This window comes from Homo sapiens, chromosome 19 (assembly GCF_000001405.40).
Source record: "Homo sapiens chromosome 19, GRCh38.p14 Primary Assembly".
NCBI classification, from domain to species: domain Eukaryota; kingdom Metazoa; phylum Chordata; class Mammalia; order Primates; family Hominidae; genus Homo; species Homo sapiens.
The window spans coordinates 50,464,236-50,490,986 of record NC_000019.10 but is presented as its reverse complement, the minus strand read 5'-3'; the positions used below and the strand labels follow the sequence as shown (position 1 = coordinate 50,490,986).

The window sequence follows — 26,751 nt, the reverse complement described above, 5'->3', positions numbered from 1 at the left end:
CAGGAGGTCACAAAGTGGACGGCAGGAAAGCCAGCCTTCCCTCTTCTGCCTTCCTCCTCACCTCTCTCTCTCTCTCTCAGTACTTTGTTCTTGTTAATATCAGTGTATCAATGAGCCTGGTTTTTTGCCTTTTATTATTATTATTAACATAGTGAGCACAGGCGTTTCGTACTCTGCGTCTGATTTTCCAGCAGCGAAGCCTCTGCCATCCGCCCCACCGTCCCGCTGGCTCTTGCTCATTGTCTTTCCCTTCCCTGCTTGCCTGCTCCCTCACGCCCCTGCTCTGCGTGTTGGATGTGAAAAGGATGTCAGGGACTAGGCGGAGGGCATGTTCCTCCGAGCCCAGGCTGCACCTTGGCACAGTGGAGGGTCCACCCACCCCAGGTAGCCCAGGTGAGGCCCCTGGGTCCCCCTGTCACTCAGGCTGTCCACATGAAAGTCCAGATGTCTCCGACCAACAGATCCCTGGGAGAAAGGACGTGACGCTGCCGCTTCACCGGGATGGGTTCCCACGTCCCTCCGCGTTGACCCACAGCTTCCTTACGGTCTTGTATGTAGTTTGATGCTTTTAAGGGCCGGCCACGGTGGCTCAACGCCTGTAATCCCAGCACTTTGGGAGGCCAAGGTGGGCGGATCATGAGGTCAGGAATTCGAGACCAGCCTAGCCAAAATGGTGAAACCCCGTCTCTACTAAAAAATACAAAAATTAGCAGGCACGATGGCGGGCCCCTGTAATCCCAGCTACTTGGGAGGCTGAGGCAGGAGAATCGCTTAAACCCGGGAGGCGGAGTTTGCAGTGAGCCGAGATCGCGCCACTGCACTCTAGCTTGGGCAACACAGCAAGACTCCGTCTCAAAAAAAAAATTGTTAAGACTATTTTATCCAGGTTCCTACTTGTTTTCAGTTATGGGGTTGGGGGCGGGGTGGGAGGGCAATGACCTGACACAGTGTTACCGGATGAGGAGTCTGGTCTTGCTTTGCTTTCTCTGCCTTTTCTGTCTTGTCATTGGCTCTCCCGCCCTCCTACACGCACCCCGCCTGTTGCTTCTCTCATTCTCCAGTTCCCTTCCAATCCCCCTTCACTTCTCTTTACTCCCCTCCCCCAGGTCAGTGCTCGGCGTTTCCTCCCTCTTTCTGTTCTCCCATCCTCCCGGGCAGCTGTCTCTGTCCTGTTCTGTCTCCTGTTCTCCCGCCCCTCCAGCTCCTTCCCTTCCTCCTTTCTCCTGGGCCCTTCTCTGCCGCACCTTCCACAGCTGCTCTGTTCCTCCCCATCCTCGTCTAGTCCCATTCGTTGTCCTTTCTCTCCCTGGGTCACAGAGATGGCCCCGGGGTGGCTGCGCCCTGTTGAGGCAGGGAACGTTTCTGCTGCATGGCCGAGTTCCCAACCTGGACCCGCCGGGTCTGGCAGCCTGTCCCCGCAGTAGCCTGGGCTGTGCCCACGACACCCCCGCCGCCCAGCTACCCGGCCCTCTCCGTGCCTCACACTGGCTCCTAACCTGCTTCACGTTCCTGCTTCCTGCCCCGGTCTCTGGGCTGACGCTGTCTTAGGGGCGCCCCCTCCTCAGCTGGAGGGGCATGGTCCTCTGTCGCTACTTCCAATCCTCTCTCCCTTCTTTCTCTCCATATTGCTCTTCCACACTCATGCACCTCTTCTTTCCTTTCTGCTTTTTTTCTCGCTCACTCACCCGCTGGAGTGCAGTAGTGCAGCCTCCACCTCCCAGGCTCCAGTGATCCTCCTGCCTTAGCCTCTCAAAGTGCTGGGACCACAGGTGCGAGGCACCATGCCCGGCCTGTTCTTTTCTCTCTGCCCTTTTTTGTATTTTTTCCTTTCTCCTTTCCTTCTTCCCTAATGTCTGTCTCTCTCCTTCCCTTCTTAACTTCCCTTCTCTCTCCAGCCCTCTCCTACCCTCCTTTTCTCTTTTCCCCTATCTCCAGCCCTCTCCTACCCTCCTTCCCTCCCTCTTTCTCTCTCCCCCTCCGCACCGCTCCATCTCCCTCTCGGTCCAGTCCGCTGTCTGTGCCCCCTCTCTGTTCCGTTTTCTCTCCCACCCTTCTTCCCTCTCCCATTTCTTCTCTTTTCCCCTCTTCCTGTTCTCTTTTTCTCGCTGTCCTCTCTGTGGCCACCCTCCTTTTTCTCACTTCTGCTCTCCCTGTCCGGCTCTTCTCTCTCCTCTCTCCCTTCTAGCAGATTCTCTGGCTGTTTCCTCTCCTCTCCCTCTGTGCTCCTCCCTCCTCCTCTCTCCTCCCAGCCACTATCCTCTCTCTTCACCCTCTTCTCTTTCTGTCTCATGGTCTCCTCCTAGCTCTTTTCCTTCCCAGTTCCTAGCTCTCTCCTTTCTCTTTCCTCTTCTCTGGCTGGAGCTCCCCGCTCCTCCATCCCTCCCTCTCCCGGGGCCCCCTCTCCCCCACCCTCTTCTCCCCCAACACCCTCTCCCCCACCCACTTCTCCCTAGGACGCTCCCTCCTTCACCCGTTTCTCTGCTTCCCTCTTCTCCGAGCTCACCAGCCATGGCACCCACCCTCTCCCTCTCTTCCTTCCTGTCCCTTTTTTCACCCCCTCGTCTTTCTTTCCTCTTCTGTTTTTTCTTCTCTTTCCACTTCTGACCCCCTACACTGTTTCCTTCTTTCTCCCTCTTCCTCTCTCCCCTCCTGCTCTGGCCATCTTTTCTTTTTTTTTTTTTTTTTTTTTTTGAGACGGAGTCTCGCTCTGTCGCCCAGGCTGGAGTGCAGTGGCGCAATCTCGGCTCACTGCAAGCTCCGCCTCCAGGGTTCACGCCATTCTCCTGCCTCAGCCTCCCGAGTAGCTGGGACTACAGGCGCCTGCCACCATGCCCTGCTAATTTTTTTTTTGTATTTTTAGTAGAGACAGGGTTTCACCGTGTTAGCCAGGACGGTCTCGATCTCCTCACCTCGTGATCTGCCTGCCTTGGCCTCCCAAAGTGCTGGGATTACAGGCGTGAGCCACCGTGCCCGGCTCTTTCCTCCTGCTTTTTTCCTACACTCTCTCCTCCCTCCTCTCCTCCCTCTTTCTCCTGTTTGATTTCCACCTCTTTTCTCTCCTCTCTCCTCTGAATCTGCCTCTTCCTCTTCTCACCTCCCTCTTCCTTCCCTGTCTCTCCCCCTTGGGTCTCTCTTCCTTCCCTCTCTCTGGTTTCTCTGTCTCTGCCCTGTCCTTTCCTTTCCCTCCTCTCTGGACCTGTCTCCTCTCCTGGCTCTCTCTCCTTCAAGCTCTCACTCCCACTGGCCTCCCTCCCGGGAGCCCCGTCTCCTCCGTCTCCAGGTGGCCCCTGCATCCCTGCCTGGTGGGCCTTTGCCTCCCTCTCCTGTTCCTGCCTTGCCTGCTCCCAGGTTTCCAGGTCCTGACCAGGAGGCAGGAGTCCATACCGAGGCCCAAACAGGCTAGCCCTGAGCAGGGCCCCCAAGCCTGAGGCCCAGGAGTGGACAGACCTTTGTGACACCCATTCTCTCTTCCTTTTCCATCTGTCCGGAACTCTGGACACTGCCTGGAGGAATCAGGCCTGCCGTAGGCCCAGGAAGGCGGAAACAAAGACGACGCTCAGAGACAGGAAGCAACTTGCCTAAAGATACACAGCACGTAAGGAGCAGGGACAGGACTGGGTGGGGCCCCTGGGGTTGGCCAGGAGTGGGCTCCTGAATCTGCCGATCCCTGGCCTCCTATCTGAGCTCAGTGAGCAGCGGATGACGCCTTTCTGCTCCATTCCGCTCCCTTCCCAACTCTTCCTCTGACAACATGAAGCACCTCAGCACTGAGGGGACCTCACCTGAATTCCATTTCAGAAATGAGAAAATTGGTGCCCAATGTTTCTGAAGACCAGCAACTGCTAAGACAGAGACTTCGAGGGAACCCGACCTTGCCTGAAGGACCAACAGCGCCCCCTGCAGGACACTTCCCTCCATTGAGAGAAGCCACAGGCGCCGGCCTGAGGCATTCTGAGTGCGTGGAATCCTCTATTACCACCTCCTGGCAAAGAACGGAGCTGCAACCCAGCTATATGAGACACCGAGAATGATCTCAACAAAAAGGAACAGTGACCAGAATGCCTGGGGGAGGAACAGGGGATACTGGGTGGAAGGAGGGGAGAGGGAGAAGTTGTAATATTTTGTAAAAATGAACATTTTTACTCCTAATCAATATACAAACATCATGCTCAGCAAACTTCTTGGTATGAAACTTCTGAACTTCACACATTTTCAAGTCATTCTATGGGTGGGTGGATTGGCTCCCATGGAAATGCAACTGGGACTGCACATGGGAAACAAAGGAAAATGGAATTTGGTTCACACAAACCTGTTTGGGAGATTGCATTTCCAGGAAATGGGCCAAATTGAGTTTGTTTCCTTTGTAACAACATTGTTGTGCCTTGCTGACTGGAAGGTGGGTACAAATAAAGGAGGATGGACTGACAGCTGAAGAGGCACCAGTAATTAGCCCCTAATCCTTACCAGGGAGTCTCTCTGATGGGTTAAAGAAGCCTACAGAGGCCAGGGGCGGTGGCTCACACATGTAATCCCAGCACTTTAGGAGACTAAGGTGGATCGCTTGAGGTCAGGAGTTCAAGACCAGCCTGGCCAACATGGTGAAACCCGGTCTCTACTAAAAATACAAAAATTGGCTGGGTGTGGTGGCACACGGTTGTAATCCCAGCTACTCAGGAGGCTGAGGCAAGAGAATTGCTTGAACCTGGGAGGTGGAGGTTGCATTGAGCCAAAATTGAGCCACTGCACTCCAGCCTGGGTGACAAGTGAAACTCCATCCCACAAACACACCTGCCCCCCACCCACCAAAAAAAAAGGAGCCTATAGTTTCCAGTAGACAATTTGGGGTTAGTAAAGAATTTTACAAAATACTAAATGTAGTCTTGTATATTTTAGGATTGTTTGCCATGCAACTATGTACTGGGAGCACCTAAATGCCCACATGAAACCCTAGGCTGGGAAGAGGAAGGCTTTCGCAATGCCACGCAGCCGATAACATTTTCTGGTGGCAGGAAATGGGAGGGAGCAACCCCTCCTGGAGCATTTACCTTGCCAGGTGCTCTCACATCTTAGACCAGAAGTCACGAGGCTAGGATGAGGGTCCAGGAGGCAGAGAATGAGGATTGAGTTAGGGTCAGGACAGTGGACACAGAGAGGAGGAGACACAGAAGGATGGGTTGGGACTCTATCCTGGGGGAGGTGAGAGGCCACGCGGAGGGCTGTGAGCAGGGGAGTAGTGAGGTCAGCTCTAGTGTCAGGAAGCTCTCCATTAGGGGGATGGACTGAGGGGGGGATGTTGGGGGCTGGGAGGCCAAAGAGGAGGCTGGGCCGATGGTCCAGGTGGCAGAGGACGAGGCTTGAGCTGGGACCAAGGCCATGGAGACAGAGGTGACGGGATGAGGCCAGGAAGAACTTTAGGGGTAGGTATGGTGGTGCATAGGAGAACGTGATTGGGACAGGGCAGTGCTCTGGTCCATGAGGTTGGGCAGGTGATGGCACCACTCACTGGAACAAAGATCCCTGGAGGAGCACCCGATCCGGGCAGGTGGGAGGCACTGGCTCCTTTAGTGGCCCCTGAGGCACATCCTGGGGAAGGAGCCCAGGAGGCAGCTGGGGCCATGAGTCTGGAGATCAGGGGTGGGATCTGAGCTGGAGATGAGTTGGGGAATCGCTGGTGAAGAGGGGCTGTCTGGAACCTCCAGGGTGAAGGGATGGGGCAGACACCTGGAGTAGCAAGGGGGAAGCATGCACCACCATCACACACACATCCCTCTCCCCCAGCAAGGTGGGGCCCCACCGGGCCATGTCTTCCACAGACACATATGTGTGCAAAATGATGCAGCAGAACAGGGGGACTCCTGCAGTGCTGCTTAGAACTACTCAAATCCAGCAACACACTCTTACACCAGAGATGGAATAAGATGGCACCTTATACCAGAGATGGAAACTGCCCCAGCTATGTCAAAAGAAGGTGGGGGAAAAGAGCAACACTTGCAAAACTGTTGACATGTGCATCTGCTTGTTTCTGTGGAGAGTATCTGCAGCATACCAGGGGACAGAAAACTCAGGCTGCCTCCAGGGAGGGGAAGTGGGTGCTGGAGCCCAGAGTGAGCATACAGTTTCTGGACGTGGATTCCACTGCATCTTTTGTCTATTCTGGAGACAGGGTCTCACTCTGTCACCCAGGCTGGAGTAAAGTGATTCAATCACAGCTCAGGAAGCATCGAACTCTGGGGCTCAAGCGATCCTCCTGTCTCAGCCTCCCAAACAGCTGGGACTACAAGCATGAATCACTATGCCTGGCCAACCTACTCTATCTTTTGAGTTTCATACTTCATCCCTGGATAACCCGGTCAATAAAATAAAATAGTGAGTGGGTTCCCCAAGGACCGGCCAGACGGGGAAGAAAAGTTTAATAAGAACAGAACGCTAGGGGAGCCTGAAGGAGCTCAGGCATTTCCTGGAATACCCAACAGAGTAACCCTGCCAGCCTGAAAGCAACCGAGACTTAGAGGGAAAGGACATAATCAGGTTTATAAAGATCCCAATGTTTAACCCAGGAAAAATAAGATGTTCCCCCAGTGCCGGGGTAGAAGACATCTGCAGATCAGACACAGGGACCAGGACTCCAAGTTGGGAACACTTCCCAAAAAGCATCAGTAGGCCTGGCGCAGTGGCTCATGCCTGTAATCCCAGCACTTTGGGAAGCTGAGGCAGGTAGATCACCTGAGGTCAGGAGTTCAAGACTAGCCTGGCCAACATGGTGAAACCCTGTCTCTACTAACAATACAAAAATTAGCCAGGTGTGTTGGCGGGCGCCTGCAATCCCCGCTATTTGGGAGGCTGATGCAGGAGAATCGCTTAAACTCAGGAAGCGGAGGTTGCAGTGAGCTGAGATCGTGCCATTGTACTCCAGCCTGGATGACAGAGCGAGACTCTGCCTCAAAAAAAAAAAAAAAAAAAAAAAAAAAGCATTAGTAAATATTTCTGGAATCCTCTAGGAAAAGAATGAAGCAGGATTCACATGGAATGAAGACAGAAAAAGCATAAGCTATCTCCTGCAGGTGGAGAAAGAAACAGAAGTTAGCAATGCTAAGACTATCTTCTTTATTAAAGTTACCAAAAATAGGCCAGGCGCGGTGGCTCACGCCTGTAATCCCAGCACTTTGGGAAGCCGAGGCAGGTGGATCACTCGAGTCCAGCAGTTCACGACCAGCCTGGGCAATATGGTGAAACCCCGTCTCTACAAAAAATACAAAAACTAGCTGCGCGTGGTGGTGCACGCCTACAATTCCAGCTACTCAGGAGGCTGAGGTGGGAGAATCGCTGAGCCTGAGAGGTGGAGGTCGCAGTGAGTCAAGGTACCGCCACTGCACTCCAGCTTGGGTAACAGAGCAAGACCCTGACTCAAAAACAAAAAGAAGTGATGGGAGGGAAGGCAACCTCCCACGGTGCACCACCTCCTGGTCTTGACAGTCGACTCACAAACCATCACTTGTTTATAAACGCGTTTCCGATCTGCCATCGTAATTCCATTTTAGTCATGCATCCCGAGATCATTCAAACCACACCCAAGAGAGACTGGACGACAGCACTCACTAGGGTGCTATTTATAACCATACAATGCAGGAGGCTAGCTGCGTGTCGATCTGGGGGACAGTTTAATAAACTGCCACACAACACAGCTGAGCTCCACACAGCCACATGAGGATGGGGACAGCCATTCCTTGGGTTTCTGAATAACGTATCAAGTGAGCAGTGAATTTCAATCAAGCTTGTACATCAGGACCGTCTTGCCAAAACAACAGTTGCTTTTGGCTGCTGGAAGCTGTAGCTTTTCAAAACGTTCACACATTTCAATGTATCGTCGATGTTTTTAAATAGACTTACAGGGAGGGTGGCACACAGCAAAGGCCCGCAGGCCCTCGTAGCACCGCAGTCCAGGTAGGATGCTGGGCGGCGGGGGGTGGTGGAGGGGGTTCTATTTACAGTGTCTGGGCTTTGACTCCACTAACTGTTGGTTTTGTTTTCTTTCTTAAACCTTTTCCTTCAAGTCTGGAAGCCTGTGGAGGGCCTGTCACCTTAAAGGCAAGGATTCCTTGTTTGCACCAGGCAGACAAATGTCAAACCACGACCCCAGGGGCTGCACTAGGCGTCGGGCCCAGAAGCCCCCGGCCATCCAGCCCCGACTCTTTCATGCCTCTGCCCCTGATGAGGGGACCCAGGGTACCCTCAAGGGGACACAGAAGGGAGGCTGCATCCTAGTCCAGTGTCAAAGTGAGGGGGGCGCTGCAGGAGCCTGGACAGGACCACCTAGCCCAGCCAGGGACAGGAGGGTGAGACCACCTGGAACAAAGGCACAGAGGCTGGAGAGAAGGCGGCATGTTCCCAGACTGCATGGGCTCGGGGTAGGGGGATGCGAGGTCAGAACTGGCATAGTGGCCAGGATCTCGGGCTCTACTCCATGGGCAGGGGGGAAGCCCCTGGGGCTGCATGGGGCCATGGGGGAGGCGGGCGCAGGAGACACCGGCTGCTGTGCCAAAGGCCCCAGTCCAGCTGCTCCTCTGCCAGCAGAAGGCAGAGGACAAGGGGCTGGCCCAGGTGGCCTCGTGGGACGGGGGGAAAGGAGGGACCAGCAAACCCTTCTTGGGATGGCTGAGGACACAGGGGACTCCAGCAGAAAGGGAGGCCCCTGGGTGTGCAAGACGGGACGCTGACCAGCCTGGGCCCTCACCGGCCACTACCCCCACCACCACCCCCACCCCCACCCCCACCCTGGCCCCCGGTGTCTGGCGCTCCTGACATCATGAGGAACAGGACGACGGGAATGATGTACATCCACTGCAGCCGGACGGAAGGATGGACAGACAGACACAGAAAGAGAGAGAGAGGGGAAGGAGGTGAGTGTGGGCATCACCCACCCACGGTGGGGACCGGCATGAGGGGAGGTCGCGTAAGGGGAGGGCGCCCAGGTCCCCTACGTCACTACAGGTCAGGGAGGGCCAGTGGGGCGCAGGGAGGGGCAGGGGTCTCGGTCCTCACTCAGGCCTCCTGTGGCGGTGGCGCGGGCCCTGGCGCAGCAGGACGCAGGGCTGTGAGCAACACGGCCCCCCCCAGGATGATGTGCCACTGGGGAGGGAGGGAGCGCAGGTCAGGGCCAGTGGGCTGCCGTGGGGCCTGAGGGCCAGCAGGGAGTGGGAGGGCGCTCGAGTGGGCAGCAGGGCAGGGCCCAGCAGGCAAGGGCTCAGCCTCTGGGCCTCAGTTCCCTGCAGCACAACTGTTGGACTATCCAGGCGGAGCGGGTGAGGCCCTCAGGCAGGGCACTCAGCACAGCAGGGCTCAGCCATCCCAGCCTCAGCATCCTCCTAGCCTGCCTCGGGCCACACAGACCTCTTCGCTGGCCTTGGCCTGCCTGGGCTCCTGTGCCACAACCTAACACCAGTCTCCACACTCAATGGACCAGAGGCCTGGGTGGAAGCCACCTCCTCCGGCTGTCCCCAGCCTCCCCACCCCACGCCTCAGCCTCTAAGCCCCCGGGACTCAGACCTGCTGCTGGCAGCACAGGCCCCTCCCTCCTCAGCTCCAGGAGGCCTCCCAGGCACCCTGCTGCCCCCAATGCCCCTCCCTGGGCCACATCCCTCCCGGACCCACTCCTCTCTCCTTCCTGTACAACCCCCTGAAGAACCTGCTCGCCCCTCCTTTCCAAGCCTCCCTGGTTCCTTTGAAACCTCCACTGTTCCCTTCCTCTCCAGCCTCATGGCTCCAACCTAGCTCAGGCCGAGACCTCCCCCAGGACCCTGCGCCCTAGAGCTGGCCCGACCTCCCCTGACCACACTTCCATACCCTCTTCCTGCAAACAAGCCTCAGCCCAGGTACCAGGACACACAGGAGGCCCGGAGGACAAGGAGCAGGCCCGAGCACCATAGGGGAGTCTGGGTGGGAGCATGGAGGGCCTGGCCAGGCACCGGGACTGTCAGGAAGGGAATAGGGGAGGCGGGGGAGCCCCACTCACGTATTTGGCGAAGAAGGACTTCTGCTCCTGGGGGTTCTTGGCCTTCTGGGCCTGTTCCATCTCCAGGCGCTCAATGAAGGCCGCCGTCTCAGGGCTGGGGCAAGGGGAGAGGAGGAGAAGGGTGAGGCCCGGAGTCCAGGGACCTGGAGACCCTGAGGCCGCCAGGAAGGGCCGGGGCAGGTGGCAAGAGCGCCGCGAAGGCAGCAGAGGCTCACCCTGGGGCTGTGGTGGGCGGCTGCAGCTGCACCGAGGTGTTGAACAGCTCCAGGTCCACGTCCTCCACCTCATGGCCCCGGCAGCCCCCGGGGTGCGTCACCACCGACACGCCCACCACGTTGCCGGCCACATCCACGTGCAGGGTCAGCTGGTCCGACAGGTGCGACTCCACCAGGGAGCACTGTGGGGGGAGTGGGGTCAGTGGAGGTGGGGAGCCTGCTGCCTGGGCTCCACCCTAACCTCCCCCGGCCCCCACCACAGGACCCCCGGAGCATTTTTCAAAACCTTCCCATGGCTCCCTGTTACCCTCAGGCCCAAGTTCAACCGCCCCCCACCCGGGAGTCCTCACAATGCTATCCCCATGAAAGCACCCGCTACCTGGACCGACCCCTCCAGACCAGGAGGCCTCGGAAGGCAAGGCCAGGTCTGAGTCTCCCAGGCCTCTGCGGGCTCCAGAAACACAGGGGTTCGAATGGTGGAAGCAGGACCAGGGTAGGGGATGAGGAGGACGAGGGAGAAGGGGGCTCATCCCCGACACCAACTCACCGCAGGGACAAAGGAGGAGACATAGCCACCAGCTTCCAGGCCATCCAGGGCCCCGGGTCGCCTTGGGATCCGGACCCGGTACAGGCCATTCAGGGCTGCCACATCCTGGGGATGGGAGAAGAGGGTGCTGGTCAGAAGGATGGTGTCAGCCCTGGACAGGCTGTGATGCCCACCAGGCCTCCGCGAAGGCCCCTCTCCAGCCCCACCCACCTCACGGCCCACACTCCCCAGGCCAGCCAACCTGAGTCGACCCAGGACTCTTCCTGTTGGGGTGGCCCGGCTGGTGGGTGAGGCCAGGAGCAGCTGGGACCGCCCCACCTAGGGGAAAAGCCACCACAAGGAGGGCAAAGCCCAGCCCAGCGATGGAGTGGGTCCTGAGGACGCCTTCCCTGTGCCTGGATCCAGCTGCACCTGGCGTCCACCCTATGCCTGGACGTACCAGTTACATGCATAATAAATTCTGTTTGGGGACAGCTGTGACAAGAGAATCATGTGGGTACCATGCAGGAAGGGTGCTCAGGCAGACCTCACCGCGTGGCCACCAGAATCAAGCCTGCACTCCCCAGCCTCCCTCACAGCTACATCTGGCTGATGGGTGGAAGTGGGTTGTGCCAGCTTTTGCAAGCTTTCTCTAAATGCTGCTGCTCCTTCTGCCCCTCTTTCTCCCTCTCTATCCTGCTGCCTGGAGCCCTGGGGCCTCTCTGCATGACCCCTGCGGAGGATTGAGCTGGGCCCTTGAGGCTGCCACAACACAGGGCGACAGAAGTGAGCTCCTGTCCAACCATAGCTATTTTGAGGCTTTCTCCTCACAAACAAATCTCATCTAAGTGGTCATGAAACAGCTCAGCTGATCTGGAAAAGAAGAGGAGCCGACTGTGTGAACCTGCAGGGGAAGGGGGTCTGCCAGCAGAGGGAGCAGTGCAGGAAGAGGCCGTGATGCAGGACACCATGCCTGGCGGCGCTAAGACGAACTGCAATGCCGTTCCTCCAGGGGCAGTCATTGAGGACAGAGGCTGAGAGTGGCAGGTGGTGCTGGGAGCCCACCTGGGCCTGGAGGGAAGGCTGCTGGGGACCAGCAGGGGGTGGCTGAAGAGACAGCTGGAAACCCTCCATCCCCATCCACACCCAGCCCTGAGGGCCCCACCTCACCCGGAGTCGGCCCCGCTCCTCCTCGCTGAGCTGCCGCTGTGACAGGGACAAGGTACCATCCTGCTGGTTCCAGAGCAGTGAGCCCCGCTTCCGGAAGTTGGCACTGTCATCTGTGAGGAGCTCAGGTTCAGAGACGCCCCCTCCCCCGCCCACCCTTCAACCCAGGCAGGGGCCAGGAGGTCCAGCTTCAAATTTTGGCCTGGCCTCCACCCGAGTGACCAGGTTCCCTCCCCATCTGGGCCCCCATTTTGCTATCTGCAAAGTGGGGACACCTCCACCATGTTCCACCTCACAAGGCAACCCGTAGCAGATGCATGAACCCCACAGCTCCCAAATCCTGCCTCTGCCTCACCAGGTGACCCAGGGATAGCCACACAACCTCTCTGAGCCTCAGCTTCCCCAACTGCAAAATACGGAGGCTGTGGAGTTCAGGAATTCCCAACTACCTGGCCATGTCAGAATCAGGGGAGCTGTTCACTGAGCAGATGCCAGGGTTTGCAGAGGGGCACCAGCTTCAGGGTTTGTGCCCTCAGGTTCGGGGCCTCAGACTCGATTACTACACTCTGGGCAGCACTGACGTCCAGCTCTGGGAACCTGGACACCTGCATCATGGCAATTTAAGTTTGGGTTTGAAGCTGGCCCCTGCTCTGCCACTCACTCACGATGAGACCTTGTGTGGTGCCTACTCTGAGCCCGTTTCCTCTTCTGGAAAAAGGGGCTGACACGAATACCTACCACCTCACATGGCTGCTGTGAGGACATCTGAGTTAATACTTGCAAAGCGTGGAACCGCTAATGCTGGGCACGTGGCGACTGATCAGGAAAGCCGCTCTGAAATTATTACTGCTGTGATGACCTTTTAAAAACTGAGGTTTGTCTCACAGGCAAGGGGGCATTTAAAGAGTGTTTCTCTTCTTTCATGTCCCACTTTCCCCTAACCTGAGGCAAATCTGTTAGTAAATGGTTGTTAGTAAATGTCATACGACGGGAGGCACCCAGACTCCAAGTCTTGACTTCTCAGGGCACCAATGTTAAGTGTCTAGGAGAGGACGTTGCCTGACTCACCGATCTCAAATGAGTGCTCCAGCAGCAGCCCCACCGTGCCACAGGCCTCGCCCTCTCGACCTTCCGCCCCAGCCTGCAGAGGACACAGAAGGCCCCAGGTGAGGACCACCCAAGCCCTCAGCATAGTAGTCACCCACAGAACCCAGGACAGACAGACTGGTGGGCTGAGGGAGGAGCCTTATCTTCAAGTTAATCACTGCTGCTTGCCTTTATTTCACTAGAAACCACCCATTTCATGAATATTCATACTCTGCACTCCCTCACCCCCAGAAAACCAGACCCTACAAACATGCCTAACCTCATTGCCAAAGCAACTATCCCAAGGTCACTTCCAAGCCTTGCGCCACAAATACTCATGAGTTAAATGACACTCTCCCTCTCCCAAGCCTTCTTTTTCATGCTAATATTCAAATGGCCTCCTTATCACCTGACAGCCCAATAGCCAAGATGCAGCCTGAGTTCAGTCCCTATTAAGCACATTCAAGATTCATGCTTTCCTTTTCTCCAACCTCCAAACTTGCATACTCACGCATATTTAGGAGACAAAACTCATCTCCACTTCCTCAAGAGCCCCCTCCCACGCCTTATTTTCTTTTTCTGAGACAGGGTCTCGCTCAGTCGCCCAGGCTGGAGTGCAGTAGCGTGATCTCAGCTCCCTGCAACCTCTGCCTCCTGGGTTCAAGCGATTCTCCTGCCTCAGCCTCCCGAGTAGTTGGAATTACAGGCACCTGCCACCACATCCAGCTAATTTTTGTGTTTTTAGTAGAGACGGGGTTTCACCATTTTGAGCAGGCTGGTCTTGAACTCCTGACTTCAAGTGGTCCGCCCGCCTCGGCTTCCCGAAGTGCTGGGATTACAAGCATGAGCCACCGCGACCGGCCTAATTTTTTTTTTTTTTTTAGTATTTTTTGTAGAGACAGGGCTCGCTATGTTGCCCAGGCTGGTCTTGAACTCCTGGCCTAGAGCAATCCTCCCGCCTCGGCCTCCCTAAGCGTTGGGATGACAGATGAGCCACCGCGCCCGGCTTCACCTTGCCTCTTTCATTTCAACCGCCCGGACGTCGGATTCTCCAAGATTCCACACCCCCAGCCCCGCCCCCTCATACATATTCCCGAGCCAGAGCCTTCCGACAGGTGCGCTTGTCCTCCCACCCAGTCCTTGCAACCCGGTGCACTGGCGAGGCCCCTCCTGCGCGTGCGTGACTGAGGCCTGGCTTTCCAGGGATCTCCCACCTCTTCCCTCTCAGCCCTGCGCAGCCTCCTTCCGTCTGTAACTCACCTAAAGACCCAAGACCTGCGACATCCGTAGACCGCGCCCGCTATGCACAGCTAAAGAGCACTCACCCCTCGCGCACCAGTCCCGGCCCGGCAGCCGCTGCCCCGGGCTCGACTGGGCGCTGCTACCGCCATCAGCAAGAGCAGGAGCAGCCGGGTTGCCCCAGCGCTGGCTGCCGCCATCTCGGCTTCTTCCCACCAGCGAAGGGACGGCTGTGAGCCAAGAGCCGCGGAGCACGCCGGGAGGAACAGGCCGCATCCTGACGCCCGTGCGCCTGCGCTGGGCCCCGGCACCTGCGCACTGGCACCCGTCCGCACCTGGGGCCTGACGTCAGCAGGATGGGGCCGCCCCTTTGGCCTGATCTCCAGGAGCCGCCCCCTCCAGGGACGTCATCACAAATCAGGAGCCCGCTCTTGTGTGACGTCATAAAGCCCGCTCCGCATCATGACGTCACAGTGCGCGTAGTCCCGCCCCCTCGCTTTCTCCCTCTGCTCCTCCGTCCGCTCCCGTCGGACGGGGACATTGCAATGAGGCGGGATCGCGGCCCTAAGCCGGCCCTGGGTGGAGCTGGCGAGGTGGAACCAGGTGGGATGGCAGGTGAGAGAGGGGAGCCAGGCCTAGAGGGGTTGGACCTGGTGAAGGAACCAAGTAGGATGGGGCCGGCAATTCGGGGGCATCTGATACCCCGTCCTCTCCGCGGGGCTGTGCCGGGCCCTCTCAGTTGGGAAGCCAGGCACAGCCTCCCAGGATCGACCCCCAGACTTCGTCCTGGTAAAATGCCTCCTGGTTGCAGCCTCTCCCACGGGCCGTCCCAGACGGCTCCAACGCTACCTCCAGAGCGGCGAATTCGACCAGTTTCGGGACTTCCCCATCTTTGAGAGCAACTTCGTACAGGTAGGGAGCCCCAGAACCCCCTCATCCCCAGCCTCGGCCTGCCCCTCGACCTCCTCCTGACTTGGAAAGCCCCTGCTCCCCCATAACGTCCATCTCGTGGGATTCCCGACTCCCAACTCCTATGTGATCTCTGACACCCCATACTTCTAGTTCTCTAGATTCTTTGTGAACCCTGGCCTGTAACTCCCTTGCCTCAGTTTCCCTGACTTCACACCCATATGATTCTTGAACTTTAATTTCAAGATATCTGGCCCCCAGCCTGATTTTCAACTCACCTGGTTCATGACCTTTTCCCCTACCAAGATTCCTAACCTCTGATCCCTCCTCAGTTCTGCCCCGACATCTATCCTGCCCCGACCTCTGACCTCTGGCCCCAGGTGACTCGGTTGGGAGAAGTTGCCAACGAGGTCACCATGGGGGTGGCAGCCTCCAGTCCAGCCCTGGAGCTCCCGGACCTATTGCTTCTGGCCGGCCCTGCCAAGGAGAACGGACACCTGCAACTCTTCGGGTAACTGCCCCCACCTCAGCCGAGACCCCTTCCTCCCTCAGCTCCAGGCACCTGAGCCCCCAGCAGTACCTCCCCTCGTCCAGACCACCCCCAGGGCCAGGAGCTGGCAGTGCTACCGGCCCTCCCTGAGCTGCCATCTACCCGGGAGAACAAGGACAGAGCAGCCCTCAGGGGCCAGAAATCAGAGATTAGACAGACCTGAAGGGGACAGTCCTCAGCCATGCCCCAGCAGCGGTCAGGAGAATGATCATTTCCGCAGGGCCTGCTCATGCCAGACGCCCCTAGGCCGCGCATACGATCTCACCTCTGACCTCATATCTTCACATGGTGGGGTCCCTTAGCCCCATCCGCCAAAGAGCTAAACTGAGGCTCAGAGAGCCGGGAGCCAGTTGCCCAGGGTCCCACTGTGGCTCCAGAGTGGGCCAGGATTGGAATGCCAAGCTTGTCATGATTGTGGATCTCATGGTTCTTGAGCCCTCCTGTGCCTCACTCCACACTGCCCCTTTACGTCATATTTTTTCATTGAAAAAGTAATGCAGATCGGGTGCGGTGGCCCACACCTGTAATCCCAGCACTTTGGGAGGCCAAGGCAGGCAGATCATTTGAGGCCAGGAATTTGAGACCGGTCTGGCCAACATAGCAAAACCCTGTCTCTACCAGAAATACAAAAAATTAGCCAGGGCCGGGTGCGGTGGCTCACGCTTGTAATCCCAGCACTTTGGGAGGCTGAGGTGGGTGGATCACGAGGTCAAGAGAACGAGACCATCCTGGCTAACACAGTGAAACCCCGTCTCTACTAAAAATACAAAAAATTAGTCGGGCGTGGTGGTGAGCGCCTGTAGTCCCAGCTACTCGGGAGGCTGAGGCAGGAGAATGGCGTGAACCCAGGAGGCGGAGGTTGCAGTGAGCTGAGATTGCGCCACTGCACTCCAGCCTGGGCGACAGAGCGAGACTCCATCTCAAAAAAAAAAAAAAAAATTAGCCAGGTGTGGTGGCGGGCGCCGGTAATCCCAGCTACTCGGGAGGCTGAGGCAGGAGAATTGCTTGAACCCAAGAGGTGGAGGTTGCAGTGAGCCGAGATCATCCCACTGCACTCCAACCTGGGTAACAGAATGAGTGAGACTCTGTCTCAAAAAAAAAAAGAGAGAATAAAAAAGAAAAGAAAAGAGAAAAGAAAAAGTAATGCAAACAAACGAGAAAACAAGCACAAAATAGACAGCAGAAGCTGTTCCTTTTTCTCACCCAAGGCTCCTGCCCCAACTCCAGCTACAAACACTGAAATGTTTACATGCCTACAGTACAGAAACATTCTGCCAGTAGCTTTCACTTTTTTTGTTGTTTGTTTTTTTGAGACAGAGTCTCCAGGCTGGAGTGCAGTGGCACAACCTCGGCTCACTGCAACCTCTGCCTCCTGGGTTCAAGCAATTCTCCTGCCTCAGCCTCCTGAGTAGCTGGGATTACAGGAGCCTGCCACCACGCCCAGCTAATTTTTGTATTTTTAGTAGAGACGGGGTTTCACCATGTTGGCCAGGCTGGTCTCGAACTCCTGACCTCAGGTGATCTGCCTGCCTGGGCCTCCCAAAGTGCTGGGATTACAGGCATGAGCTACCATGCCTGTCTGGCTTTCACTTTTTTGACCACATCTCACAGTTCATGAAAGAGAGATGCCGGGTATGGTGACTCATGCCTGTAATCCCAGCACTTTGGGAGGCTGAGGTGGGAGGATTACTTCAGGCTTGGAGTTCAAGACCAGCCTGGGCAACATAGCAAGACCCCCATCTCTACAAAAATCAAAATTACAAAGCTAGCCAGGTATGGTGACACATACATGTGGTCCTAGCTACTGGGGCTGAGCCAGGAGGATCACTTGAGCCCAGGAGTTCGAGGCTGCAGTGAACTGTGATCACACCACTGCACTCCAGCCTGGGCAATGAAGTGAGACCCGTTCTCTAAAAAAGAAAGAAAGAGAGGGAAGAAAGAAGACAGAGAAAAGAAGAAAGGGAAGAAAGTAAGGAGGGAGAAATAGAGGAAGGAGGGAAGGAAGGAAGGACAAACTCACATTGTCTCACACATGCACACATGAAGGTCCACAGTTCCTTCTCTGCATTTCTGAAATCCAAAAGATTGCTTTTCTAATTTCGTGGCCAAATCAGATTTTGACCTGCATGTACTCGAGATGACTTACAGCCTTTATTAATCCCCCTGCCTAAGTTAAAAACCTTTCACAAAGGAGTATTCTGACACCAGTACAGTACCCTGAGATATTTTCTCTTCTACACTATACCTTTATTTTTGTTTATGTGTTGTAGAGGTGGGATCTCACTATGTTGCCCAGGCTGGTCTTGAACTCCGGGCCTCAAGTGATCCTCCCACCTCAGCCTCCCAAAGCACTAGGATTACAGGCATGAGCCACTGTGCCTGGCCTTTATTTATTCATTCATTCATTTAATTTTGAGACAGGGTCTCACTCTGTCATCCAGGCTGGAGTGATCACAGTTCTCTGCAGGCGCAAGCGATCCTCCCACCTCAGCTGCCTGAGTAGCTGGGACTACAGGTGTGCACCACCCACACCTGGCTAATTTTTGTATTTTTTTGTAGAGACAGGTCTCACCATGCTGCCCAAGCTGGTCTCGAACTCCTGGGCTCAAGCAATCCTCCTCCCTCAACCTCCCAAAGTGCTGGGACTATACGTGTGACCCACCTTGCCCAGCCCCTTTTATTTTAAATGCTAACTGTATTTCACCAATTGATCTCATCACTCACTGAATCATGACCTGCAGTTGGAAGAACACCAATGATGGTGCTGAGAGTGGCTATGACCCTCTCATAAGCTCCTTTGGCACCCTAAAACCCCTTCCCAAATGAACATACCACTGAAGTGAGAACATTGAGCTTGCTCTGCAAATTTGGCCTCAGGACTCACCTCCTAGCCCCTCACTTCTGTCTAACCAACTTCCAGCCCTGAGCTATTCTGGGGCAGTTTCTGACAGAGAGATATATATATACACACATACATGTATATATACATATATACACACATACATGTATATATACATATATACACACATACATGTATATATAATACACACATACATGTATATATACATACACACATGTATATACATGCACACATACATGTATACATACATATACACACGTATACATACATATACACACGTATACATACATATACACACGTATATATACATATACACACGTATATATACATATACATATACACACATGTATATATACACATATACACACACGTATATATACATATACACACACGTACATATACATATACACACGTATATATACATACACGTATATATACATATACACACATACATGTATATATACATACATACATGTATATATACTTACACACATACATGTATATACACATATACACACATACATGTATGCATACATATACACACATGTATGCATACATATACACATGTATGTATGCGTATGCACACAGATATGTATGCGTATACACACAGGTATGTATGCGTATACACATGCATGTATGCGTATACACACAGGTATGTATGCGTATACACATGCATGTATGCGTATACACACACGTGCATGTATGCGTATACACACACGTGCATGTATGCGTATACACACACGTGCATGTATGCGTATACACACACGTGCATGTATGCGTATATACACACATGTATACACACATATATATACACACATATATATGGATCCATCCTTTCTTTAAAAACAGCAGTAGAGGCTGGGTGTGATGGCTCACACCTGTAATCCCAGCACTTTGGGAGGCTGAGGTGGGCAGATCACCTGATTGCCAGGAGTTTGAGACCAGCCTGGCCAACATGGTGAGACCCTATCTCTACAAAAATACAAAAAATTAGCCAGACATGATGATGGGCGCCTGTAGTCCCAGCTACTCAGGAGGCTGAGGCAGGAGAATCATTTGAGCCCAGGAGTCGGAGGTTGCAGTGGCCAAGATCTCACCACTGCACTCCAGCCTGGGTGACAAAGCAAGACACTATCTCAAAACAAACAAACCAGCAGTAGAAGGCTGGGTGCAGTGGCTCACACCTGTAATCCCAGCATTTGGGAGGCCAAGGTGGGAGGACTGCTTAAGCCCAGGAGTTGGAGACCAGCCTGGGCAACATAGTGAGACCCCATCTCTACTAAAAATACAAACATTAGCCAGGGATGGTGGGGTGTGCCTGTAGTCCCAGCTACTTAGGAGGCTGAGGTGGGAGGATTGCTTGAGCCCAGCAGGTCCAGGCTGCAGTGAGCTGTAATCACGCCACTCCATTCCAGCCTGGGCAATGGGAACAGGACCCTTTCTCAAAAAATAAAATAAAAAGCAGTAGCCACAGGCTGGGCGCGGTGGTCACACCTGTAATTCCAGCACTTTGGGAGGCCGAGGCGGGTGGATCACGAGGTCAGGAGTTTGAGACCAACCTGGCCAACATAGTGAAACCCCCTCTCTACTAAAAAATACAAAAATTAGCCGGGCATGGTGGCGGGCGCCTGTAATCCCAGCTACTCGGGAGGCTGAGGCAGGAGAATCACTTGAACCGAGGAGGTGGAGGTTGCAGTGAGCCAAGATCGCGCCATTACACTCCAGCCCGGGAAACAGTGCGAGACTCCATCTCAAAAAAAAAAAAAAACAGCAGTAGCCACAAGCCATACGCCACTTCTCCCTGCGCCCACCCCCTCGTCAGCACGACACCCATATCCGTTTTGTATTGCCATGAGCACAGCCACCACACTCTTTCAGACATATTTGCACAATTGGACTCTTTTTTTTTTTTGAGACGGAGCCTCACTCTTGTTGCCCAGGCTGGAGTGTAGTGGCATGATCTTGGCTCACTGCAACCTCCGCCTCCCAGGTTCAAGAAATTCTCCTGCCTCAGCCTCCCAAGTAGCTGGGATTACTGGCATGTGCCACCACACCCAGCTAATTTTGTATTTTTAGTAGAGACAGGGTTTTGCCATGTTGGTCAGGCTGGTCTCAAACTCCTGACTTCAGGTGATCCGCCTGCCTCGGCCTCCCAAAGTGCTGCGATTACAGGCCTGAGCCACCGTGCACAGCCTGCACAGTTGGATTCTTTTTGACCATTGCACGTGCTCTGCTGTCTTAGACACCAAGCTGTGTCCAGCCTCCTCATGTTAAAGTGGTAGGCAACGTCCTTAAACAAATGCCTGCCCTCAGACGGCTTGGTTTCAAATCCTGGCGTTACTTCATCACTGGCTTTGGCCAAGCTCAACCTACCTGCCTGTGCCTCAGTTTCCTCATCTGGATGACAGGGATAAGAGGAGAGCACACCCCATAAGGTTGTCGGGGGAAAAACTGGGTAAATATAATAGCAACTGGCTCTGAGTAAGTGCTCCACAAATGTCAGCTGTTATTCTTCTATTTGGGGGACAAAAATCAAGTCACCCACTGAGGGACACTGGGGTTTGTTGGCATCTCGGTTACAGGCGGTGTGGCAGGGGACATCCGCGCATATGTGTCTGTGCACAGGTGTGAGGGTGTCTGTGAGATCCATTCCTGGCAGTGATACTGCTGGACCAGAGAGGCCACCTGGCTACTCAGTGTTGTAGGTGAACATGGGACCTGGGCTCCAATCCTGGCTGTGTGACCTGAGCCAAGATCCTCACTCTTTCCTGACTGCTTCCTGCTCTGCCCTGTTGGACCTTAAATCGGGCTGCGGGCCTGAGCAATCAATTTACCAAGATACTCAAAAAGCATCCACTGAAGCATCCACTGAGCACCTGCCACGTGTCAGCTGCGGGTACCAGGGAAACTTTCACCACTGGACAAAGCAGGCCTCCAGGAACTCCCTGCCCTCCAGGAGCTCCCACTCTACCAGGCAGGCAGAGGGAACAGGTGGCCATTTGTTAGATGGGCAAGGCCTGTGGGGCTCCGTCAGACCGGAAAGGACTACGGGGAAGTCTCAACAGGGTGGATGTGGTTGAAATAGGCCAGGGGAGACATCCCTGAGAACATGCCTCCTGAAACACAGGGCGATGAGGGGGCGGGTCTTGCCTGGAGAAAGGGCTTTTCAGGTGGAGGGAACCATCTGTGCAAAGGTGCTAGGGTCGGACTGAGCCTGGTGTGTTCATGGAACAGCAGGGAGGCCAGTGTGGCTGGAGGTGCAGGAGGTGAGGGCAGAGAGGGAGCAAGGGGCTCTGCAGGTCTGTGGGCCACGGTGAGGGCTTTGTGTTTATTCCTGTTGAGCCAGAGCCACAGGAAGGCTCTGAGCAGAGGGACCCAAACTGCCCAAGGTGTTGACCTGCGCCTTCTGGGGGACTTGTGGGGAACAGACTGTAGGGACTGAGGGCTGAGGCAGGTGGCTGGACGCAAGGGTGGCGGAGGAGGGAGTTAAAAGAGTTTGGATTGTGGATACATTTTAAAGGTGGCAGGCAAAGTGAGGTGGCTCATGCCTATAATCCCGGCACTTTGAGAGACGAGAGGATCACTTGAGCCCAGGAGTTGGAGACCAGCCTGGCCAACATGGTGAAACCCCATCTCTACTATATAAAAATAGAAAAATTAGCCAGGCATGGTGGTGCGCGTATAGTCCCAGCTGCTCTGGAGGCCGAGGCAAGAGGATTGCTTGAGCCCAAGATGTTGAGGCTGCAGTGAGCTATGACCGTGCCACTGCACTCCAGCCTGAGCAACAGAGTGAGACCCTCTATCTCAAAAACCAACAAAAAATAGTGGAGCCACCAGGATGTGGTGTCAGGACTCATCAGGGTGTGAGAACATGGAGTCCACAGCGACTCCAAGATTTTGACCAAGCAAGAGGGGGATGTAGCTAAGACAGGGAAGACCAAGAGGAGTAGGCTGCGTGTGAGGGGCTGAGGGAGCTTGAGAAGTGGGCTGTTGAACATGTTATGAGTCGGATGGTAGATCCCACACCCAAGATGGGATTTTTTTTTTTTTTTTTTTTTTTTTGAGACACAGTCCCTCTCTCTGTCGCCCAGGCTGGAGTGCAGTGGCGTGATCTCGGCTCACTGCAACCTCCGCCTCCCAGGTTGAAGCAATTCTCCTGCCTCAGCCTCCAAAGTAGCTGGGATTATAGGTACCCACTACCACGCCCGGCTAATTTTTACTATTTTTAGTAGAGATGGGGTTCCACCATGTTGGCCAGGCTGGTCTCGAACTCCTGACCTCAGGTGATCCTCCTGCCTCAGCCTCCCAAAGGGCTGGGATCACAGGCGTGAGCCACCACGCCTGGCCCCAGATGGAAATTTCAAGTAGGCAGTTGTATATTCGAGTCTGGAGTTTAGGGGAGAGGACTAGTGGGAGACAAAAAGGAGACATGTGGCTGGAAGAAAGTTGGGAATGGACTCAAGTTCAAGAGGCAATGAAAGTGGAAAGGGATTCGTGGGGCAGAGGGAGGGGTGGCAAGGTGGGGACCCCTGACCCCGACGGTGCTGGAGGACCCGACAGGGTCAGAACCTGAGGCCGCCCCTTCCTCCCACCCAGGCTGTTCCCCTTGAAGTTCGTCCAGCTCTTTGTCCACGACAAAAGCCGGTGTCAGCTCGAGGTCAAGTTGAACACCAGCCGCACCTTCTACTTGCAGCTGCGGGCCCCACTCAAGACCCGAGACCGAGAGTTCGGCCAGTGGGTGCGGCTGCTCTACCGCCTGCGCTTCCTCTCTGCTTCTGCTGTGCCCTTCACGCAGGAGTAAGAGGTGCTGGAGGATGTAGATGGGGAGGGTGATGATGATGAGGTGGAGGCCCAGAGGGAGTGGGAGGAGGTGAGGAGAGGGGGGAAGCGCAGTGGGGCAGCAGAGGGCAGAGGGGAGGTGTCTGAGGACTCCCAGGTCTAAGAGAGGAGAGAGCTTGGGTCCTGGACTCCTGGGTCTGAGGGAGATGAGGGCTGGGGTCCTGGACTCCTGGGTCTGAGGGAGGAGGGGCTGGGGCCTGGACTCCTGGTTCTGGAAGTAGAGGTGACCCAGGGATATGGGGGTCTGTGGGTAGAAGCCAGCAGTCTCTCCAGGGCCTTGGCACCCCTAGCCAAGGGGGCTGTCGTATCCTACTTGGGAACACACACAGCCACCCACACCCGTGCCCCAGCCCCTCTCCCCGTGACATACCAGAGTAGGGTCTAGAGAGGGACAACCTGTGCCCTGAAGGAGTGGGGTCAGCCAGGCCCAATGTCCAGTTCTCTGTAGGGCCTTGGGGGTCAAGGTGGAGCAGGGGATGATGCCAGTTTTAGAAGCTGGGGGCACTGGAATCTGTGCCCCCTCTTAGGACACCTGGCTTCCCCTGCCATTCCAGTAAGTGCAAAGTCCCTCCCCGCCCCCTCACTCCCTAACTGCAGGCCAAGGCCTCTGAAACAAACTCTCTCTCCCCAGCCCCAAGGCGTGGAAGCCAGACTTGACCCCAAGACCTCTGAACTCTGGGGACTCTGAGTCTTCCAGCATCCTTCAAGGTCACCGAATGACCAGAGATCAAAGTACCTTGCCTCAGGGCCGGGCAGATGAGATATTAAAGTTAATAAAGGTCAGTCCATTAAGAACCAACAAGCAGGCCACGAGCGGTTTCGCCTTCGTCACCAAGTCCGCGCAGCTGCCTGGCAGGAGTTTGTCCAGTACGGCTGCCTCCCTCTTCGGTTCACCACGTCTAGCTCTTGGGGCCGCTGCCAAGGCCTAGAGGCGGCCACAGCGACACAGCTGCTTCGGTAGAGTGGCCTTCTGGGTGTGGCCTGGGTGTGTCTTTGACTCGCTGCCACTGTCGTTGCCCCTAGCCTGCACCCTCCCTCCCTCCCAGCAGCTTCTCTGGGGCCGGCCTCCCCGTGGGCTTGGGTTCACCTCTGATGCTCTGTGGTTGCTGTGACAACGTGGCTGCCTCGCTAAAGTAGCTATTCCAAGAGGCCACCTCACCGCGGCCTGTGTCGACGCAGCTGCTCCCGTCGCCAACCCCGGGGTGACCAATCCCCTGCAGGAGGAAGACGGAGCTACGGAGTCAAGAAGGACAGACACTCCAGGGTCCAGACAACACTGTTTTGTTCTCAGCGAAAACTCCAGAAAGAACACAGTCCTGGGAGGTTGGGGATTGGGGTCAGGACTCCACCACCAATTGTCTTGGCAGGTAGGGGACAGGTCTCACTGCGGCACTGCAGGAAAACGAGAAAGCGGGTGAGCCAGGCCCGGGCACGCCTCCTCCTGAAGCCCCAGGAGGAGGAGCTGCATCCACATGACCAGCAGGGGGACAGGATGACGGTCACCATCCCGCCCCATCCTAGGCCACTGTGGCTGGACAACCCAGAGTCACAGTGCTCCTGATTACTGGTATTTTGGATCCCAGATGGGGACATTCTGAGCTGCTGGCTGTACGCGGTCACTGGAATCCTGAGGCTGGGATTTTTCTGAGCTGATTTAATAGTTAATCAGGGAGACAGCAGAGTATCAGAAATTGGGTGGGCTTGGAAGGGCAGTGATCTGGGGTGTTTTTGTTTGGTTTTTGAGACAGAGTCTCACTCTGTTGCACCAGGCTGGAGTGCAGTGGTGCCATCTCAGCTCACTGCAGCCTCGGCCTCCCTGGTTCAAGTGATCCTCCTGCCCCAGCCCCCCAGGTAGCTGGGACAACAGGCATGTGCCACCAGGCCCGGCTAAATTTTTTTGTATTTTTAGTAGAGACAGGGTTTCGCCATGTTGCCCAGGCTGGTCTTGAACTCCTGGGCTCAAGCAACTCGCCTGCCTTGGCCTCCCAATGTGCTGGGATTACAGGCGAGAGCCACCGTGCTTGGCTAGAAAGTGTCCTCTCTGAGCCTTTGTTAAGGGTCCCCAGCCACCCTGTCTGCTGGGCTGTCCTCAGAGCCAGGGAAGTCAGAGGTCAGAAGTCACCATCCGGGAGGGACTCTGGAAGTCCACATTGATGTCATCCTGCTCTGAGGGACACGGTTAGTGGCCTCCTCGCTGAGCCTTGACTGGCAGACATCTGATGGGCCGGAGCCCAGGGTAAAGGAGCGGGGGAATTGTGTTCCAGGAAGAGGGAAGAGCATGTGCCAAGTCCCTGTGGCAGGAAAGCCTGGCCAGTGTAACTGCCAACAGCCCGGTGTGGCTGGGACATCATGTGGGAAGAACCGGGGTGGACACACCACCGTGAACACCAGGCGGAGGGGCGCTGGGGCGGTGGGGAGTCCCCAGCGGGCTGGGATCAGGGCTGGGGCAGAGCAGCTCTGGATAGAGAGAGCTCTCTGGGGCCAGAGTCCAAGGGTGAAAGTGGCTGGCAGGAGGGAGAGACTGGAGACGGAGGCGGCTGGAAATGGAATATGGGAGGAAGAGGATGTAGCTTTCGCTGGGGCTGGAGCTGTGGGACCGAGATGAGGGACGGGGCAGGGAGAGGCAGGGGCAGGTGGGTGGGAGCATGGGGACAGGCTATGGAGGGAGGCACTCTTGGGAGCTCCCGCCACCCCTGGTCATCCGTGTTATCCATATTTGCTCTCACTCTGTCAACCCATCTGCCTACGGGGGCCCAGGTACACTGGAGGCCTTGGGGACGTTTCCTAAGCCCTTCTCACTCAGCCTTCCTCTTCCTTGTCCTTCAACTCCTTTGGAAAAATCTGACTCCTTCCCAAGCTGGGTCAGGGGCTCCCCAACCCCAACTCCTAGGATGCCCTGTGCTGCCTTCAGGACAGCAGCTTCCCAGTCCTCCTCCCAGAGGGCTGGTCTCACTCGTCTCCAGATCTCAGCGGTGCTCAGCCCGGGGCCACCGGCCAGGCTGGCACAGGGCCCGAGCAAGGGTCAGCCAGTGTTGGGGATGGCCACGCCCTCACCTCGGACCTCCAGCTTGCACTCAGCCAGCGCCTCGCCCAGCTCGTTGACGGCCCGGCAGGTGTAAGTCCCAGCGTCGAAGGGCGAGGGGCGACGGATGTTCAGCGTCAGGACTCCTTGGTAATTGGTTATCAGGAACTTGGGATCTTCACGGATTTCCATCTTGTTCTTCATCCAGACCACCTTCGGCTGTTGAGAGTCAAGGGAGAGGAGGCCAACTTAGAGAGAGACCCTGGGCAATGATGACAAAATGGGGCTCAGGAAGCCGATCTGGGTTCTAGGCTCTGCCACCCTCTTGC

At 55.7% G+C, this 26,751-nt stretch overlaps 3 protein-coding genes and 1 long non-coding RNA gene across 6 annotated transcripts in view, besides 4 other annotated features; 2 read left to right on the top strand and 2 right to left on the bottom strand.

Moving 5' to 3' along the window:
• Positions 1-115: 115 nt before the first annotated feature.
• Positions 116-14,480, bottom strand: EMC10 (ER membrane protein complex subunit 10). 2 transcript variants are annotated; one of them, NM_175063.6, is made up of 8 exons: positions 14,329-14,480; positions 12,986-13,058; positions 11,921-12,030; positions 10,772-10,876; positions 10,225-10,406; positions 10,010-10,103; positions 9,040-9,126; positions 116-8,838 (listed from the first exon to the last, which is right to left on the bottom strand). In NM_175063.6, exons 1-7 carry the CDS (start codon positions 14,440-14,442, stop codon positions 9,040-9,042), a joined length of 765 nt encoding a protein of 254 aa, NP_778233.4. In that variant the 5' UTR covers positions 14,443-14,480; the 3' UTR covers positions 116-8,838. The 2 variants fall into 2 exon arrangements, with proteins under 2 accessions (NP_778233.4, NP_996261.1); NM_206538.4 differs by lacking the exon at positions 9,040-9,126.
• On the top strand, positions 2,094-4,177 carry MYREM (MYBPC2 cis regulating lncRNA enhancer of myogenesis). Its single transcript, NR_186349.1, has 2 exons — positions 2,094-3,595; positions 3,799-4,177. It is a non-coding gene; the product is annotated as an MYBPC2 cis regulating lncRNA enhancer of myogenesis (long non-coding RNA).
• Positions 14,139-24,199, top strand: GARIN5A (golgi associated RAB2 interactor 5A). Of its 2 annotated transcripts, none has more exons than NM_138411.3 (5): positions 14,139-14,857; positions 15,054-15,154; positions 15,532-15,662; positions 23,158-23,365; positions 24,032-24,199. In NM_138411.3, the coding sequence occupies exons 1-4, from the start codon at positions 14,599-14,601 to the stop codon at positions 23,360-23,362; spliced, it is 696 nt and encodes a 231-aa protein (NP_612420.1). In that variant the 5' UTR covers positions 14,139-14,598; the 3' UTR covers positions 23,363-23,365; positions 24,032-24,199. The 2 variants fall into 2 exon arrangements, with proteins under 2 accessions (NP_612420.1, NP_001295358.1); NM_001308429.2 differs by having other exon boundaries at positions 15,484-15,662.
• Positions 14,276-14,475: an enhancer, noted in NCBI's record as "active region_14989". NCBI's record gives its function as "activates an Ori minimal core promoter by ATAC-STARR-seq in GM12878 lymphoblastoid cells {active_cell/tissue: GM12878}" and the evidence as "EXISTENCE:reporter gene assay evidence [ECO:0000049][PMID:35858748]".
• Positions 14,276-14,842: a biological region, named in NCBI's record as "H3K27ac hESC enhancer GRCh37_chr19:50979402-50979902".
• Positions 14,342-14,842: an enhancer, noted in NCBI's record as "H3K27ac hESC enhancer chr19:50979402-50979902 (GRCh37/hg19 assembly coordinates)". NCBI's record gives its function as "activates a minimal SCP1, AML or CMV promoter by ChIP-STARR-seq in primed H9 embryonic stem cells {active_cell/tissue: H9 hESC(primed)}" and the evidence as "EXISTENCE:reporter gene assay evidence [ECO:0000049][PMID:30033119]".
• Positions 23,589-23,775: a silencer, noted in NCBI's record as "fragment chr19:50970469-50970655 (GRCh37/hg19 assembly coordinates)". NCBI's record gives its function as "represses an EF-1alpha promoter that drives an FKBP-Casp9 reporter gene in an ReSE screen in HepG2 liver carcinoma cells {active_cell/tissue: HepG2}" and the evidence as "EXISTENCE:reporter gene assay evidence [ECO:0000049][PMID:32094911]".
• The window catches only part of MYBPC2 (myosin binding protein C2), a 33,430-nt gene continuing 31,344 nt past the window's right edge, over positions 24,666-26,751 (bottom strand). Inside the window, exons 27-28 of the mRNA NM_004533.4 lie at positions 26,455-26,641; positions 24,666-24,792 (exon numbers count right to left, since the gene is read on the bottom strand). Coding sequence (NP_004524.3) covers positions 24,782-24,792; positions 26,455-26,641 — 198 coding nt within the window. The 3' untranslated portion in view covers positions 24,666-24,781. The remainder of the gene's footprint in view (positions 24,793-26,454; positions 26,642-26,751) is intronic.

Coding starts and splice junctions, on each gene's coding strand:
- EMC10 (NM_206538.4), bottom strand. CDS start 14,442: ATGGCGGCAGCCAGCGCTGGGGCAACCCGGCTGCTCCTGCTCTTGCTG. Junction 12,031..12,985: donor GGAGCACTCATTTGAGATCG/GTGAGTCAGGCA, acceptor AGCTCCTCACAG/ATGACAGTGCCAACTTCCGG. Junction 10,877..11,920: donor AGGAGCGGGGCCGACTCCGG/GTGAGGTGGGGC, acceptor TCCCATCCCCAG/GATGTGGCAGCCCTGAATGG.
- GARIN5A (NM_001308429.2), top strand. CDS start 14,599: ATGGGGCCGCCCCTTTGGCCTGATCTCCAGGAGCCGCCCCCTCCAGGG. Junction 15,155..15,483: donor TTGAGAGCAACTTCGTACAG/GTAGGGAGCCCC, acceptor ATCCCTCCTCAG/TTCTGCCCCGACATCTATCC. Junction 15,663..23,157: donor GGACACCTGCAACTCTTCGG/GTAACTGCCCCC, acceptor CCTCCCACCCAG/GCTGTTCCCCTTGAAGTTCG.